General features: G+C 38.1%; 1 protein-coding gene across 2 annotated transcripts in view; it reads right to left on the reverse strand.

Moving 5' to 3' along the window:
* The window catches only part of AKAIN1 (A-kinase anchor inhibitor 1), a 54,781-nt gene that overhangs the window by 12,733 nt on the left and 23,135 nt on the right, over window positions 1–18,913 (reverse strand). The window lies entirely within an intron of this gene.

Here is an 18,913-nt window from a genome sequence, read left to right on the forward strand (position 1 = left end):
AATCCAGAGCCACCAAACCACCAGGCTGGCCCGAACTCAGGACTCCCAGATGCAGGAGTCTGCTATTTATAGGGGCAGCAAAAGTAGACACTGTGTGATCTCATGTGCTAAAGGAAGCCACAGTACCAAGGTCCTAATAGAATGCAAGGCAAATTTTGGAAGCCAGAGGCTTGCATACTTTCTTTCCCACTGCAGGACCTTCCGTAGCCTCTGCTATGTCCTAGTGGTGGCCTCCTGGGGGACCAGGACATCGGAGGTAAGAAGATAGGGAAAATCCTTGACTCATGAGACAAGGGCTGTTTTTATTTTATCAAACATACTTAGAGTAACTAGTACATCCACAGCACTTTCTGACAACAAAAACTCTTACTAGGCCATTTATAGATTCATCCTCCCAGGAGTTCCGAAGCAGCTGGAAATGGAGTCCAGAGGTTTCCTGTCCCCACTCAGATAAGAATTACTGGACCGTATTACCAGAACTCTTAAATATTTAACGAAAGATTCTCAGTTCCCGGGCATGGTGAGGACATGCTCTCCCTTCCTGGGAAGGAAGGAGGGAGGGAACCAATATGAGCACTATGAGTGATTTTAAAGGAATCTTCAAAAACAAACAAAAAAAACACCCCCACCGTATGCCACTGTTCTCCCTGAAATAAACAGCGCAATCTTCACAATCACCATTTCTCTGCCAAAGAAGGAATCAAATTCCCAGATGTGACAAGTCATCAGAAAGTGCAAGTCTAGAATTTAACTAAATAATCTCTCAAAAGTAATATTTAGTCCCTGGAGGAAGTGAGTATAGAGGGAGAATCTCAGGGGGCTAACCAGAGGAAAATTATCCTCTGCCATAAAATAAAATCCTTTCTACTCTCCTTGAAAGAACAGCTCCCAACCTTTTGAAGACGATTCCTTTGTAATGTCAAAATATTTCCCATATCCCTTCATGACACAATGACAAGAAGAGGCTATGAATTCAGTAATGCTTTTAGATGATTAATACTGTTAATCACAACAGCCTCCATATTCAGCACATTTGAAAAATTGCAGGAGTTATGTGAGACAGTGTATTCCGACTGCAGAAACTTTGAGGGGCAAATAAGGCATAGCTGTGCTTTAAAGCAGCTCCATGGCCTGGGGGTCTTTCTTGCTCTCACACCAGGCTGGAGGCATTAGAAGGAGCAATAAAAAGCAGGCAGATGTTGTAAACTAATTCTTAATGATGAATTTTCAAGGCTGTAATGGGGGTAGGGGACAGGACATGGTGTGAAACTAGAAGCCTTCCTCCAGCTATCCTCAATTTCTGGCCTCTCCTAAATAGTCACTCATAAACATTAATTAAATGTCTAACATCACTAGGTTTGCATAAGGCAGGCCGAGTTTTCACCATCAGGAACAATGTGATAACTAAGATTTTTTACAATTTTTAAGTATCATGAAATATTTTAAGATGTGAAATGATTAACCAAGATGAAGTATCAATTTTATTTTTTAAGTGGAAAACTGGAGGCTCAGAATATTGTTTGGAGTCACACACGGGATTAGATCTGTGCGCTCCACACCCTGGGCCAGAGATCCTTCCATGACACCTTCCTGCTGCAGCTTCCGTCTTCAGGATAAGGAAGGAAAGCAAGGAGCTGGTGTCCAGACACAGAACCCAAAGATTATTTCCTTCTCTGCACAAAATGGAAAATATATAAATGTATCCCCTCACTTTTGTTTATGCTTCCATTTGCTCCACTGTCTCAAACAGCAGCTGGAGTAACTTTTTCAAAATGTAAATCCAATCTGTCATGCACCTGCACACAACTCTTCCTTGGCCTCCCATTGCATTTGGAAAGAAAGCTCAACCTCTCACCATGGGCCTCAGGGGCATGTGTGACCAGTCCCTGTCTTTTATGCAGCCTCACGCCCTCACCCGTCCTCTCACTTAGCAGACGTGGACTTTCCTATGACTCTGTACTCAATTCATCAAAGATAAAATCTAGTCATGTGTGTATGCATGACTCGTTACCACTTACTTTATTTTCTTAAAAAATTTTGACTTAGAAACTTTTTTTAAAATTATTAAATTTTTTTCAAAGATGGTGCCTTACTCTGTCACCGAGGCTGGAGTGCAGTGGCATGATAATGGCTCACTGCAGCCTTGAACTCCCACCTCATCCTCCTGAGTAGCTGGGACTACAGGTGCATGCTACGACCACCAGCTAATTTTTTAAATTTTTAATCTTTTTGCAGAGATAGGGTCTCACTATGTTGCCCAGGCTGGTCTCAAACTTCTGGCCTCAAGTGATCCTCCTGCTTCCACTTCCCAAAGCACTGGGATTACAGGTGTGAGACACCAAGCCCAGCTCTGTTACAACTGACTGTGGTATCTTGAACAAGTCAGTTTCCTCACCTCTAAAATGGGTACAATAATGGCACGCCCTCACAAGGTTGTTGCAGCCTGTGTCCCCTAGAGCATCTGCTCTCAAGGGGATGACTCCCTTTGTTGTCACTCAACATTGTCCCGTGTGCCCAGTGCACAATCTGTAAGTATGGTTCAATGAGTGGCTGTGAAAGTCACTGTTTTCCAGTCTGTTCTTTCTTCCCCCAATTTCTCTGCTCCCATTAATTTTCTGCTCTTGGCCTCCTTTGCTATGTTTTGCTGATTCGCTGCAGTGAGAGTTAAGGCACAAGAGGAAGCAGCTGAGGAGACACTCCTTTGGTGCCAGCTCAGCCCCTCTGCATGAGAGACGGTGCAGAAAACACACTAGAACGTGAATATTAGAAAGGCTGCTCCAATTTCCAGGCCACATATGGCTAGGCCAATTAGCAGTTTCAAAATGTTACACCCAGTTCATCTCTGCCATCTCCTAGCTTCTTGTTTTCTCCCTCCTCCTCTTCCCTTTGCATGCCTGCAAACTTCTAAAGGGGTCAGTTCTCCACTCCCTCCATTTGGTTTCAAACACTACAGAACAAAGAAGTGTGAAAATAAGCTCTTTTCAGTTGGGTCCAGTGATGTTCCCAGATAATTTTGTTCCTGTTGGTCAACCATTTGCCATGACAACATTCTCCTCAAGCTTATAAACTTCCTGAACCCTGCACACATGGGTATGTATTGAACCAAGTCCTGCCAACACTCTGAGGCTCTGTAGTCATGAGCCTGTGCCGAGAAAGCCCTTGTTTTAGAGACACTGGGTTTGGATCCCATTTCAGGGCCTTTCTGAGTTCACCTGAACAAGCCTTGGTTTTCTTACAACTAAACTACAAAATACAGGTGAAAACATCTGATTAATTTTTGAAGTGGATAAATGAGAATACGAGTCAACACTGCTTCACCTACAAATAGGATAAAGAAATACAAAAATCTTGCTCCAGCCATGAGTTCCCTATCCTAGTATATGTGGCTTTTCTTTTATTATATCTTTTTTTTTTATAACCATGAGAATGAGAATCTTGGCTCTTTTTACTGTGTTGGGGTTAATCAGAAAGAGAGAACAGGTGGCTTGAAATAGAAAAGGAAGTGAAGAACAAGATCAGATGTTTTACGTCTTTTTTTTTTTCCAGTGATATTTCAGAAGAAAAAAAGTAGCTGAAGAAAAATAAACCCAGACTTTAGAAGTATTTGTTAGAACTATGTGACAGGAAATTAATGTCACGTGTTTCACCCTGTGTCTCACCCTGTGTCTCAGGGAGCCTCGGCTGCCACATTCAAAAACTCCAAGTCAAATGTATTGAGCTTTTGGTCTGAGAACCAGAAATGAAGACAAGAAGAAAGGGAGGTAAGAGTTAGAGGAAGGGAGGAAAAGTGAAACAGTACCTTTGAGGATGCAAATTAGCTACCTTCAAATAAAATTAAATTACATGTTATCTAACTGAAATTGTAGATAGTGGCTTAAAAGTTTCTAGCAAGCAAACTATGGTAAAATAGAAATTAATTATAGAAGACATAAGAACTGACTAGTTTAAGATACAAGAACTTACAATGACAACACTGTCATTGTGCTGTCATTTTTGCCTTATTTAGTGAAAATAACAGCTGCATTTTTTCAATTCATCTTATTTTTTCATGAAACATTAAGTTCTTCAGCCACAAACTCTTCTAACATAATCTGTTAGTTGGTTTGTCTGTTTAGCCACCACTCAATTTAAGAACTAGGCATTGGCCAGATCCTAGACGCCACCTGAGTACTGCTCTCCAATCGTGTCCCCTTAATCCTGCGAAAGATAAATCATCTCCAGAATTTTCTCACAATCATTTCCATGCTTTTCTTTAATATTTTGTCACAAATTTATATTGTTGTCTGTATCTTTGGTTTGATCATTTTTACTTCTATATAGTGCCCCATTTAATGAATAGACCACAATGTTTCCATTCCATCAGTAATAGAATTTGGCTTGATTCCAGTTTTTTAGCTATTATGAATGATTCTACCATTCTTGGCCTTGCCTACACATGTGCAGGAACTTCCAGAATCTAGAAATAGGAGTAGTTGTCTGCATTGTAGAGAATAATAAGCATGCTCAAATTCGCTAAGTATTGCCAACCTGTTATCCAAAGGAGGTCAGCAAATTTGCACTCTCCTCAGCAAGGAACCCTGTCATTGTTCAAAATTCTAACCAATACCTAGTATGTGTCATCATTTTAAAAGTTTCAACCTGGTAAGCATGCAATTATATTTCACGGATTTTATTTGCATTTCCCAGATAACTAATGAGGTTGAACATCTATTCAGAGATTGATTTATGATGACGATTCCCCTTTTTATGAGGTACCCGTTTAAGTTATGTGCCCATTTTTCTACTGGGTTGTTTTCCTTTTTCTTACTTTTTTATATATATTCCTTGTCAATTATATGTGCAGCAGATACTTCTATGGCCCTCTTTGTGGCTCAGAAAAAGAACCTCTGTGTTTCTCTTAATGAGCAGAAGTTTATTTTAATGTAATCAAATCTGGGTTTTTTTATTCATTTCTTGTTAATAATTTGTTGTGGTCTTCAGCTCTCTGTCCTGAGATCATGAAGTTGTTCTCCTCTATTGTCTTTTGAAAACTTTGCAATTTTGATTTTACATTTGGTACTTTAATCCAGTTGGAATTGATTTTTGTGCATAGTGTGAGGTAAGGACCTGATTTCCTGTATTTTCGTATGAATAGTGAATTGCCACAGAATTGTGTTTTGAGACGTTTGGCCTTTCCCTACTGACTTGCCATGCCTCCTTCATTATAAACCAAGTATCCATATATGTGGTGGGCTGTTTTTAAATTATTTATTCTTTTCCATTGAACTACTTGACTTGCACCCATTTCTCTGTCTTAAATACTAGTACTTTATAAGCCTTAACATCTGGAACAGCAAGTCTCTCCATTTTACTATTTTTATTGAATAATAGTGTAGCTAATCTTGGCCCTTTGAATTCCTATGTAAATTTGGCAATCAAAATATTAGGTTCAAAAACTTTAAAAACCTGTTGGGATTTTGGCTGGGACTCCATAGTTCCATGGAGCTTCACTGGCTTCACTTGGGAAAATTAGATCTTTCCATATTTTGTTCTTCGGCTCCATGTCCATAGTGTATCTCTCTATTTATTTAGATCTCCTTTAATTAAAAAAAATTATGTTTACAAGGTATTGTACATCTTTTGTTAAATTTATTCCAAGATACTTCACATCATAGTAAATTATATTTTTCTTTAAATTGTATTTTCTAAGTGTTTATTGTTAATGTATAGAAATGAAATAAATCTGTTATGTTAATTATTGATTTTAAATTCAGAAAACTCACCAACTTCTCTTAATTCTAATAATCTGTTGAAACTTCCATATACAATGATTGCATCTCCCAGTGATGACAACTTGCTGTCTTCCTTTCAATTTCTCCACCTTCTATTTATTTATTTATTTACTTACTTATTCACCTTTCTATGCTGGTTGGAGCCTCTATTAGAAGACTGAAAAAAAGTGGTGTTCCTATCTTGTTCTTAATCTCAGAGGAAAAGATTTTGCTATCCCAATATTAACTGTGATATTTTCTGGAGCTTTTGGTAGGTCCCACTGGTCAGTGTAAGAATTTCCTTTTTATTTCTTGCTGCCTAAGAATTATTTTTAATTAGAAATGCCTATCAAATTTGTCAAATGTTTTCTCACATCCACTGAGATAAACGTATTATTTAATCTCATTGAATTTATTAATATTGCAAAGCACACTGGCCAATTTTCTAATGCTAACCAATCTTTAATTCTTTGGATAAACTCACTCAGGTGTGATCTATTACTCTTTTCATAGATTGCTGGATTTGTTTGCTAATAGCCACATGCAAACGAAGGGAACAGTAGTAAAAGATGGAGCTCTTCAAGGTTTTTGGGAGATCTGAGAGGCGTATGTACCACAGACCAAAAACAATTGATACTGTAATGGATACTGAGAAGAGAAGGATTTATGTGTAAAAGGGCTAACTTGAGTCTGTATACTGTTAAAGAGATTATAAGGACTTAGGTCAAAATCAGTGAAAATAACAAATGATACAGTTGCATGGCCACATTTTCTCACCTGGCCTATTTACTAGACTCTTCTCTTAGAAAGAAAACTCCAGAAATCAGGAAGCCAGAGCTAGGAAAGGTGGATCTCACTCTTCTGGTCCCCTAGGTAAGGATTCTGAGCAAGCTAGAAATCCTGCTGCTCTGACTGCTCTCTTGGCCCATGTCCTGGAGGGTTGGATCTGCTAGAGGAGGTAGATAATACCTGGAGTCATTTCAACTTCTATTCAGCATCTACTACAGACCAGGCAACATGTCAGGCATTAGGGATATTGATTGAGAAAATCCACATTTCCTGGTCCTCAAAATGTTCACCAAAGGCACAGAATATCTGGGAACTATGAGCAGGTCTTAACTCCCTAGCCTAGTTTAACTCATCTTTGAATCTCAATAGAAATGCCTAGGATGAATATAAGGATAAAAATATGTAGTAAATATTCAAACTCTATGAAGAGTTCAATGTGATGCGTGTGTGTGTGTGTGTGTGTGTGTGTGTGTGTGTGTGTGTAGCTGCTGGGCTGATTTCAAAAGCTACTGTGAGTTACAAATTCTCATTTTGCATATTTCTCTTTATAAAAAATAAATCATCAATGACAGAAGTGTGAAGAGGAAAGGGCTCACTCAGCCCTGGGATAGGCATTGGAAAGCAGAGAACAAAGGGAAAAGTGATAAAGAGGGTGACCAGTTACAGGAAAGGTCAGGTCTAAGTGATAGCCTCAGGCAGGTCATGGAGCTTCTTGTTGGTTTGTGACTCTCAAAATCTAGTATCCATAAGAATCACCTAGGACTGATAGTTACAATGAAGATTCTCAGGCTCCACCCACAGAGATTCCAATTCAGTAGGTTTGGGATTCGGCTCAGGAATGTACATATTTAGCCATGACTGCAGGTAATTCTGGTGCAGGTTTCAGGCAGCCACCCTGTTCTTCAATGCTAACTTCAGCCTATACCCACAGACCGTGAGGAAATTTGGTAGCTAAGTGACTATTTTACAGCCTATTTAATTAATGGGCACAACGAAGCAGTCCCAAAGTGCAAGTCCCAAAGTGCAAATTCTGCCTTTTCCATGTACTTAACCAGCTAATTGCCAAATCTGCACTGCATTTAGAGAAACAAGAGTCAAGCACTAATCTTCAAAAAGGTTTTAAAACATTAGTTTGAAAATTCTGGATATTACTTATCTATCCCCTCTCCAGGCCTCAAACCAGGATTATGAAGATTAGTATCATTTCCAGGGTTTTCCTCTTTAATTATATTGAATGTAACAAAGCACCCAGGTTCGTGTGCAATATAAGAAATAACTTTTTGTTAAAGGGAAATGGAACTGCTATTCTGATAATTTTTGACTTGTTGAGAGATAGAAATAAACCAAGTGGAAAATATTCAAATTCTACTTTATCGTGAAGCCAAAAAATTACTGGTCAGAAATACTGTCAAATTACAAGCTCTTATCTATGGAAACATTTCCCCCCATATATGCTTGAAATTCCTTGTATGTTAAAGTCATGTTGTCTTCTTGGCAGCCTTCAAGCAATATATTTCAATACTTAATTGGAGTTAATAGGACTGAATTGAAATGGCTTCCAAGAAGTAAGAAAAAATCAGAAGATACACTTCCAAGCCTCATGAAGCATTAACAGGTGAATCGATGTAGAACATTTGCAAATGATAAAAAAGAAATGCTGGCAAATAATATTATCGATATGTGTGTTCAGAAGGCTGAACAATATGACTCAATATCTTTTGAATCCATCTGGTATACTTATGTGCATCACATCATGTACTGAGCAGCTTATTTTTAAAATTGAATAATACAACTATTATGCCTTTGTAGAAAACTGGCGGAAGGGTGTACTTCTATCAAGTGAACAGAAATGACCATTACTCTTTTGAATATATATCATAGGTAGCTCTTACACCTGTATGTGGAAAATATTCTCTAACCATGTGCAAAAAATCTAGAGCAAGGTGAAAAAGTACAGTGAAAAAACCCAAGTGATATTTGAATTTAAAATGCATGTAGAAATGATTTTATATAAAATTATGTTGCCCCAGGGGAATAGATAAATTGATACAAAGATGGAAAGGATGACAAACATACAGGTTAGTCCCTTCACTTATTACAAAGTTCTTTTGCCTTAACAGGCCAGAATTCAGCAAAGTAGAAGAGTAAGCAATTCATTTCTTGTGACTTGGGGTAAGGTTAACATAACTTAGGACCACAGGTGGATTGAAGATATATCACAATTTTGTATTTATTTTACCAATAGAATGCTTCATTCACTGGAAAATAAATTTACCTCTAGAAAAGCAACTAAAACATGTGGTGTAATTTCTACTTTATTATCTCTAACCAATGGACTCATCTGTTTTTTATAGGGCTAAGAATGTCAAGGTCATTTCTACAATCTAGAATGAGCCAGAAATCTGAGTCCCTCCCAGGACGACAGATAACACCTCTGTCACACAAGCTGTCCTCAATGTATCCCCCTATGGTCATGGGAGAAGGGATGGTTGAAGTTGATTCAGTAGCTTAACAAAATTTTATCGTGACATTTGAAAATATTTACAGTACTTGCCTTATGAGTAATGCATACTACACTAGTGTCATTCTCTATGCAAAGGCAGCTCATAACATTTATATCACCCCCACACAATGCAAAAATAAATTGGTGCAGACAATGCATTTCTGGTGATGATGGGTAAGGAAAATTGTCACATCACTGGCCTTTTAAAATCAATATTAAAGAGTTGGGAGTACAAGCCACTAATATGTATTCAATTATATCTAAAGGTAACTGAATGTATAAATAACATTTTCCTCTATGATTTGAATTTACTGCTACCTTTCTAGGCCATTAATTAAATAATTTTCCATTCTATTTCATTCCCTGCTGTGTACAATTGGTGTCTCTCTTATGTTTATGCCAATCTGCCAGGCTAGTAGGTAGCAGAACATAAAAACGAATTGAGGAATTATGGGTTGGTACAAGGGCCCATTAAAAGAGATAGAGGAACCCAGAAAAACATTCTATTGGAATGTTTCAACCTGCATCTTCTACTTATTAAGGGGAGATATCACCCAAGACTTTAATTAGTAGCTAATAAAAGCAGATAAAATGGTCCCTTAGCTACCGACTCTAACCCATGCTTAACTTGTAATTGGAGAGTGGCAAGGTCTGCCTGTCAAAACTCCAAAGGGGGTAGGAGACAATGAGTAAGGTGTAAGAAAGAACAGCAATGGCAACATCTCCTTGCCACACTCATCTCCTCCTTGTAATTATAATATGAAATCAAACCCATAAACACAGTAAGAAAATAATGACACTCTTGTACCACACTCAGTTTTCAGAGTACAGATGGGAGTTTTCAAAGCAAATGCTCAGGATTCTAATATGATCACTTGTTCAACCTTCATGTCTGGTCCTAAAATCAGATGATAGAGAGCTTGACTCAGACGTCAAATATGGCCTAAAAGGAATCCTTAACAGATATGCTAAGAATAGGTACAAATTGGTGTCTAAAAATAAAAGGAAGGCATGATATCAGGATAGCAGGTGTAGGCCTCATGTATCACCACTCCTCTTTCTAAGGCAAGCACTATTAATCCATCCTGTTGCTTGTTGAAAGTGAGCTTGGCTCAGGATCCTTCACACAGTTCTCTAAACGGCCATTGCCCACTGATTGCAGTGAAAAGGATTTTACAGTTCCTAGTTTGGTGGAACCCACACTGGGCTGAGAATAAAGTTATAGGCTTGCAGCAAGCCTCAACACTAACCTACTAAGTGACTTCAACAATTCACTTGTCATGTCTGGGTTCAAGCTTCCTTTTCTAGGAAGGAAAAATTCCTCCAATATTCAAATTTCTAAAATGTGCTACACATGATTGTGAAAAGCCATTATATTCATGACTTTCAAACTCCCTGATTTCTATTAAATTAATTACAATGTATCCAAAAATAATATAAGCATCTATTAGTGTGAAGGTCTCCCAAATTACATGTAGAATTACCTAAAATACCATATTATCATCTACGTATACGTCTTCTTCTAATTCATTATTATATTACTAATTATTGGCAGGAATTAAGAGGTTCAAGTCTTAGAGCAATGCATTTTTTTCTGTTTTGTCACAACAAAATGTTTGGGTTTTTATTTTCGGAATTAATAAATTTGACTCTTCAGGCACTAGTGAGTTACCAACTTTTCCCCTCTCATTTTGCCTTAGGAGGCATAGAAAATGTCTTTGCTATGCTCTGTTTCCCTTTTTATCCCTCTCCCATATAGACACACGGACCACTATCCAGTGCTGTTTCACAGAACAAGGCCCTGTTTTGTGTCCAAAAGCAGAAAATCCAATTCTCAGAGCCACCATACTTCTATATACTTCATGAAATAAGAACCATCTTTAAAGAACATCTCAATGATAAATATGCAGAAGAAAACAAAGTTTGTTGATAAAAATCCATTTCAGATATGACAGTCTGCTCAACATGCAGGAAAAGAAGGTCAGAACCTGATTTAGTTCTTGTTATTCCACCATTACTCAATAAGGCATTTGAAACTGTTTCCTTAGAAGTTGACAGAGCATAATTTAAGGTTGCAAGAATATTAATCACAGTAAGCATCTTGAATAACTCCAAACCAGAGTTCACAAAAACATGTGAGCATCTGTTTCCTCTTGAATCAGTTGTAGACACTTTTTAAACATGTTTCTGCTCCTAAAATCACATCTTCTATAACATTTTTCACCATCTGCAAAATATTGCACATAGTTGGCTTGGGTGACAGTGACTAGCAATCCGCTATGCTAACACACATTATTAAAGAATGGTCTGCCTTCTCTTAGAGTAGTAAATGATACATGAAGGACATTACTCATGATTTTTCACTCCTCATACTAAAACGTGTTAAAAACTATATGATAATTAAAGCAGTGTGATGTTAGCACCAAAACAGACACAGATGGATAAATGGAGCAGGTTTAGAAGCCTGATACTTGATATATGGTAAATATGGCAGTTCAAGTGAGCAGAGAAATGTACTGAAAGAGTCAGATAGATTTTTTAAAATTGTTAAATCTCTAACTGCAGATAGGGAGAAGGGAATGGTGAAATGTGAAATGACCCCTACACATTCACATCCCAACCAGCAGGCTTCCTTTCATATCTCTTCCGTCGTATGGCCGCCCTTGAACCAATCACTGGCAATGGAAATGTAACCATCATTGTAACCTAGACTTGTGAGCAACTGCCTGCGTCACATGGGCAAAAGGTAGACATGACAACAAAATCAGGACTCTTCTACATGAATGAAGGAGGAGTTACTGTTGTTTAAGCAAGCATTAGTATATGCCACATCAATGTAGTTAACTTTGCAGAAATACCAGGTAATATCGTCCCCTCAAGAGCTTAAAACAATTGAGTTTATAACAGAGGTGATGTTTAATAGGGCAGACTCTCATGAGCCATTACCAAACAGTGGTAATAATAGCTATGTAACAGTGCTTTGAGTTTTATGATATTGTCCTGGTCTTATCTTAAATATTTTATTTTTCGCTAGTCTAGTCTAGTTGGTGCCAGTATAGACACCATGTTTACTTTTTCATCTAGCCTTTTTTCATACTTTCACCCCACCAGCAGTGCTCTATGCCATTCTTTGCAGTAAAATCAGTGCTGCCTTTGCTGCTGCTGCAATAGCTAATGTTTCTAAGTAACCTTTATTGAATACTTCCTCTGTTCCTGACACAGATGAACATTTTCATGAATTATCTCATCTATTTCTCTAAATTGCCTTATGAAATAATCTTGTTTCCCCTAAATGCAAGTGGTAGAATGAGACACGTGCATGGGCTGGCTGTGGAAGAAACCACCATTTCCTTTCCCTGTACCCAAACCCATCTGAACACAACTTCCTTTGCACTCTGGCTACTACCAGAATTTTGCTCCTTTTGTTGATTCTTAAGCCCTGTTACCAAAGGGGTAACAATGTGTGCTTTATTTATCACAAATCTTGATGTGAATGAGTAGTCTCCAAGCAGCACTGGGTGAAGTAAAGAGACGAGGCTAACTTGAAGGAAACCTAGTTATAGCAGAGCAGAGGGAAGCAATAAAGAAAAACATAACTACTTCATTATTTTGCCGTGGCTTGAATGTAACCTTTCTTAATAACCAGGACAGCCAAAGAGGCTACCATTGCTTGAGCACCTACACTGTCTACTACCTGTAAAGAAGTTGGATGTTATTTCCACTGTATTGTAGAAGAGGAAAGATGGAGCTCAGAAAAGCTAAACACCTTTTGAAAGACCACGTATCCAGTTAAGTTGCATATTACAGTTCAGATCCAAAACTCATGCCCATTCCTCCTCAGTACCACACTGTCTTTATATTTCCATACCTTATACTGTTTTAAAGTGTTACTTTATCTTGAAGCCCACTACAAATTTTTTGTAACTTTGTCTTAGTGTGAACCCTTCTTTATGGATCCTGCCACCAAATCTTGACTCACAAATGTTAACTTTGCAGACAGACCAGGTAATATCATCCCTTCAAGAGCTTAAAACATTTAAGTTTGTAACAGAGGTGTTTTACAGGGCAGACTCTCATAAACCATTACCCAACAGTGGTCATAATATAATAATAAAAAGGGGCATTTGGATGACATGCATAATAAACAGGTGCTTGTTTCCTCATATGAGGCAATTCATTAAAAAAAAAAAAAAAGCAAACAAACAAAAACAACAACAAAAAGGGATGGGGGAGCTACATAAGGGAACTAAAGGAGGTGTTTTAGTCAGGATTCACCAGGAAAGCAGAATCAATACATAGAGAAATATTTGTTTTAAGGAAGTGGTTCATGTGTTTGTGAAGGATGGCAAGTCTAAAATATGCAGGGCGGGCTGGCAATCTGGATAACCAGGGAAGAGTTAACGTTGCAGTCTTGAGCCTGAATTCCTCAGGGAAGCATGTTGGGAAATCAGACAGAGACTCTATGTTGCAGTCTTAAAGAGAATCTTCTTTATTGGGAAACCTCGGTCTTTGCTCTTACAGCCTTCAACTGGTTGGATAAGACCACCCACGTTATGGAGAGTCATATGCTTTACTCAAGATCTAATAATTTAAATGTTAATTATATCTTTAAAAATATCCTACTGCAACATCTAGACAGGTGTTTGGCCAATCAACTGGAGACCATAGCCTAGCCAAGTTGACACAAAATTCACAATCACAGAAAAGTTAGGTGAAATTCACAGCAAGGACAGCAAATACAGCACATGCACATGTATCCACCCTCTCTGCCTGAGACCATGACAAATATCATTCATCAGCTAAGGCCCTCTTCTCCAGTGAGTTCTACACAGCTCAGCTCCAAAAATCCAAGCACAATTGGCATAGGAGTTGAAATCTACTAGTTGTCCATAGCCTGGACCACGTAGTCCAGTACCATTACCGCGGATAATGTTTGACGAGGCCAGCAACTAATGTGGCAGCCTCAGTCTCCTCTGAGGTCTCTCTTAGTTTATCTGGATTTTTAAAAATACTACTGTTTTCCAGTTTACATGGATTTTAGAAAATCTAGATAAACTAAAAGCAAGAAAAACATTTTGTCCCAATTAACATACTTCTGAGCAAAAAGATAAAACTTCATAATAATCTACATACATAATTGTCTAGGAACAAAATGATTTTTATCTCATTAAAACCTGCTTATGTAAACTACCTAACATGATAGCTAATGCCTGGTAGGTTGCAGTTACTCTTCACCTGCAGCCTTTCAGGCCTGTGATGGCCTAAAGTTTTAATAACTATAACCATTTGAAATTCTACACTGGGTACAATTATACTTGTCAGTAAGACTGGCATGCCTTCTGTATTACTAATTCACACATTTGGGATATTCAAAAATATTCTGATTTTTAACAAAAATACTGCCTATCGTGTGTGATGTGGCAAAATATGTGGCACTAGAAATTTTGGCAGAAATTCATTTGATCCTATCAATCACAAAATAAAGGCAAAATCCAACTTTGCAACAGAATACAAATATACTCCAAGTAAGAGGAAAGACTCAGCCTTTTAGACTCACATTTAACTTTGAATCAGGTTCCAAGGATCTCCACAGACAAGGCATTCATTCCATGTCTTCATTAACTATTTAGAGGTCTATTTATGTGATTGCTAACTCTATGTTTCCATTTTCCATAATGTGACCTGTAGTAAGCATTCACAACTTTGATATCATGGCCCCAGTTCTTTCATTGGATAACTGAGCAAGTTAAACACTGGGTTCCAATTTCCTTATGTTTAAATAACGGGGCATCCCTAGAATTTTGAGTCTCTGCTAAGCAAAGATAGTGTACAGTCCCCTGGCACATTGTACATCCTCATTAATAACAATAGCACACTTATATTTTATGTGTGTGTTGACTCATTTAATTCTCATGAAAACCATAGCATGCAGATTGTTTTTCAAAATGACCAAAGCAATATGCCTGTTTTCCCATTTTCTTCAGAACCTTGCCATTCTTCATCAAGAAACAGAGTGTCTTTAACCTCCCCTTGAACTGTGTGGGCACTTGTGACTGCCTCAATCAACAGAATATGGTAGAAGAAAAATGACAAGGATCTGTCATAAAAAGGAATACCTGGCTTTTTCTCCCTTGGGAGGCTTACCTTAGAAGCCAGACAACAGATGCAAGGAGACCTAGGCCACATGGGGATGCCACATGCAAGTGTTCCAATCAACAGAACCCAGCTAAGATCTTGGCTGGTTGAACAGCATCAACCACCGGTCATGGGAGTGAACAAGCCTCTAGATGACTCCAGACCCCAGCATTCAAGTCATCCCAGCTGATGCCAAGTGAAGCAGAACCAAACTATCCATGTCCAGCCCTGCCCTCTAAACTGAAGATTCATGACCCCAAAAGAATGGGGTCATGTTGTTAAGCCACAGCATTTTGTGGTGGGTTGCTATACAGTAACAGAACAAGGTTGGTAGTATTTTCTCTTCATTTTACACATGAGGAAACTGAGACAAAGAAAGTCCACAGGCTGAACTCTTAAACAATATGCTATACTTCCATTTAATAAGTAATTATCAAAAGAATGATTAGTCATTCTGGGCAAGGATTTCTTGAGAAATACCCAACAAGCACAGACAACCAAAGCAAAAATGGACAAATGGGATCACATCAAGTTAAAAAGCTTCTGCACAGCAAAGGAAACAATCAACAAAGTGAAGAGACAACCCACAGAATGGAAGAAAATGTTTGCAAACTTCCCATCTGACAATGGATTAATACCAAAATATATAAGGAGCTCAAACAACACTACTGGAAAAAAATCTAATAATCCAATAAAAAATGGGCAACAGATCCGAATAGACAGTTCTCAAAAGAAGACATACAAATTGCAAACAGGCATATGAAAAAGTACTCAATATCATTGATCATCAGAGAAATGCAAATCAAAACTACAATGAAATATCATCTCACCCCAGCTAAAATGGTTTATATCCAAAAGACAGGCAATAACAAATGCTGGCAAGGATGTGGAGAAAAGGGAACCTTTGTACATATTTGGTGGGAATGTAAATTAGTACAACCACTATGGAGAATAGTTTGGAGGTTCCTCAAAAAACTAAAAACAGAGGTACCACATGATTTAGCAATGCCACTGCTGGGTATATACCCAAAAGAAAGAAAATCAGTATGTTGAAGAGATACCTGCACTCCCATGTTTATTACAGTATGATCCACAAAAGCCAAGATTTGGAAGCAACCTAAGTGTCCATCAACAGAAGAATGGATAAAGAAAATGTGGTACACATACATAATGGAGTACTATTCAGCCATAAAAAAGAATGAGATCCTGTCATTTGCAACAACATGGATGGAACTGGAGGACATTGTGTTAAGTGAAATAAGCCAGATGCAGAAGGACAAACTTCGCATATTTTCACTTATTTGGGGGAGCTAAAAGTTAAAACAGTTGAACTCTTGGAGACAGAGAGTAGAATAATCATTACCAGAGGCTGGGAAGGGTAGTGGGGAGTGGGGATAAACTGGAGATGGTTAATGGGTACAAAAATTAAAACAGGATGACTTTAGTCTACAATAATTTAGTTGTACATTTTAAAATAAGAATATACTTAGAATTTTTTAATACAAAGGATAAATGCTTAAGGGATGGATATCACATTTACCATGATGTGATTATTACCCATTGTGTGCTGGTATCAAAATATCTCATGTAGCCCATAAATATATGCACCTGCTATGTACGCACAAAAATTAAAAATTTAAAAAAAATTTTAAAGAATGACTCATCTTTGATAATTAGTCATATTGATTTCTTGTGGCATTGCAATGTGCATCTTATCTAACCAAATGACTTAAAATATATTTTTACATAATTTTTATGTAACTATGTGTTTTTGCCTCTAAGAAATTATTTTACCAAAGGCTAAATGATTGCTGACAACATATTTTAGGGAGGAATAAAGTTCTATATCAGAAAATAGCTTGTTTCTTGGTCTCTTTTATTTATATTTATTAAAAATATATAAAAAATTGAAATTTTACTGCTGAGGGAAGCAATTTCTAAGGAGCTTAACTCAATTAATTTATACCATATTTATAAAACCCCCTCTAAGGAACATTTTAAGACTTAATATTAGAATTCTGCCAATGAAGAAAAGAGTTATTATGGAAGAAAATAGGTGTGGAATCTAAATTACACACCTTTTGTTTTAAAGTTTGCAACATAATTAGATACTTTGAAGCAAGATAAATTATTTGGTTAAAAATCTTATTTAAACATTGTTTAAGTTACAATACATGGGAAATATTTATTTCACAGTTGGTTAAAAATTATTGAATCATTAAAATCCCACAAGCTGATATTGTAATGTGCAAAATAAAGAGCTTAATAAATGGTACTAATTACTAATGGCCATGAAAATGCTCAGATTCCTTCTCAGGAGATAACTTGCTTTTACTGACCATCACACAGCTACATAATATATGCAAATTTCCTAGGGACTAACTGGACACAATTGCTGAAAGCTTTTTGTAGAATTAACCAAAACTTTAAAAATATCAAATCATGGGCCATTATTGGTGTTTTTTTGTATGTGTTACATTTTATAGCTTTCCAAATTTCTGTAATTTTTTTCCAAATCATTGATTCAAGAAACTGACATTTTCCCCATGTCCAAAAAGAAGAACAGCCATCAGTGACTTCAAAGCCCAACAAGGACAGCTGGCAGCTCTACTGGGAGCCAAAACAGAAATCAGGGGTTGAGTTTTGTTACATTTTAGTTGGAATAAAATAATGTGCTTTCCTTTGGAGGAAAAAACACAGTCAAGACAACTGGTGGGGTGTTGTTTTTCTTGGTTCTGTGCCTAAACTCATTCAGCGCCCCAGAGGGCAGGGGTCCTCTCTGTTTAGCACTAGCCTAGGTGTGGCGCATAATGATTGACTAATAAATAATTAATATGAACCAAGCTGTTTCAATTGCTGATAATTTGGAGATGATGTTCAAAGAATCATTTTGACCTCTAGGAGTGCAGAAGTGCAGAGGGGCTGGTGATCTCTAAACACTCTGTTGCACTGATAGCGCCTGTAGCATTAAGTGCTATGGAAGTGCTTGTCTCTGGGCCGTCTTTGGCATGATCCCCCCTCGGCCATCTGCTGTGCGCCATTAGAGACCGAGAAATGGAATTGCAGCCGCAAAAAGAGGGTGGAAAATTAACTCTGGGCAGGCTGGGATCTTTGCTCACCCACTCCAGCACTCTTTCTGGCTTGTGACAACAAAAGTCTAAGGAAGATGCTCTGAGCCCTTGCCCCAGAGCCCTCCCCTTGTATTCATTCCATACCTGCTCTTTGCTTCCTGCCCTGGGTTTCCTGGCTACCTATGCCAGCTTTTCTCCCATGAACATCCTTTTTTAAGACTTTCAAACTTGCAGGGAAGTTGCAGTCATGCTGCGGACTCAATGATGGAGATGACCCAGGCTGGTGGGAACAATCCTGAGGACCATTGCCTAGGGAGATCCAAGCTCTTGAGGGCTGCCTCTCCCTAAGTCCTGTGCTGTGGAAGAGGCAGTGCACATAGAATTCCCTTTCAAGGGAATACTGCCTATAGGGACTGTGAGGACCACTCAGCTAGGAGCAGTCAAGGTCCACCTTAGAAAGCTAGGCCACCTTGTCTGGTCTTATCAGCAAATTGATGGCAAAGAGTGGTAAGCAAGTTTGCCCACTTGTATAAAGCACTGAGGGGGCCTGACTTTGCAGAGTAAACAGCCTCTCAAAGAGCAGAAAGCCCTGTAATCTCAGAACTTTGGGAGGCTGTGGTGGGCAGATCACTTGAGGCCAGGAGTTCGAGACCAGCCTGGCCAAC

Source organism: Homo sapiens, chromosome 18 (assembly GCF_000001405.40).
Source record: "Homo sapiens chromosome 18, GRCh38.p14 Primary Assembly".
In the NCBI taxonomy this organism is placed as follows: Eukaryota; Metazoa; Chordata; class Mammalia; order Primates; family Hominidae; genus Homo; species Homo sapiens.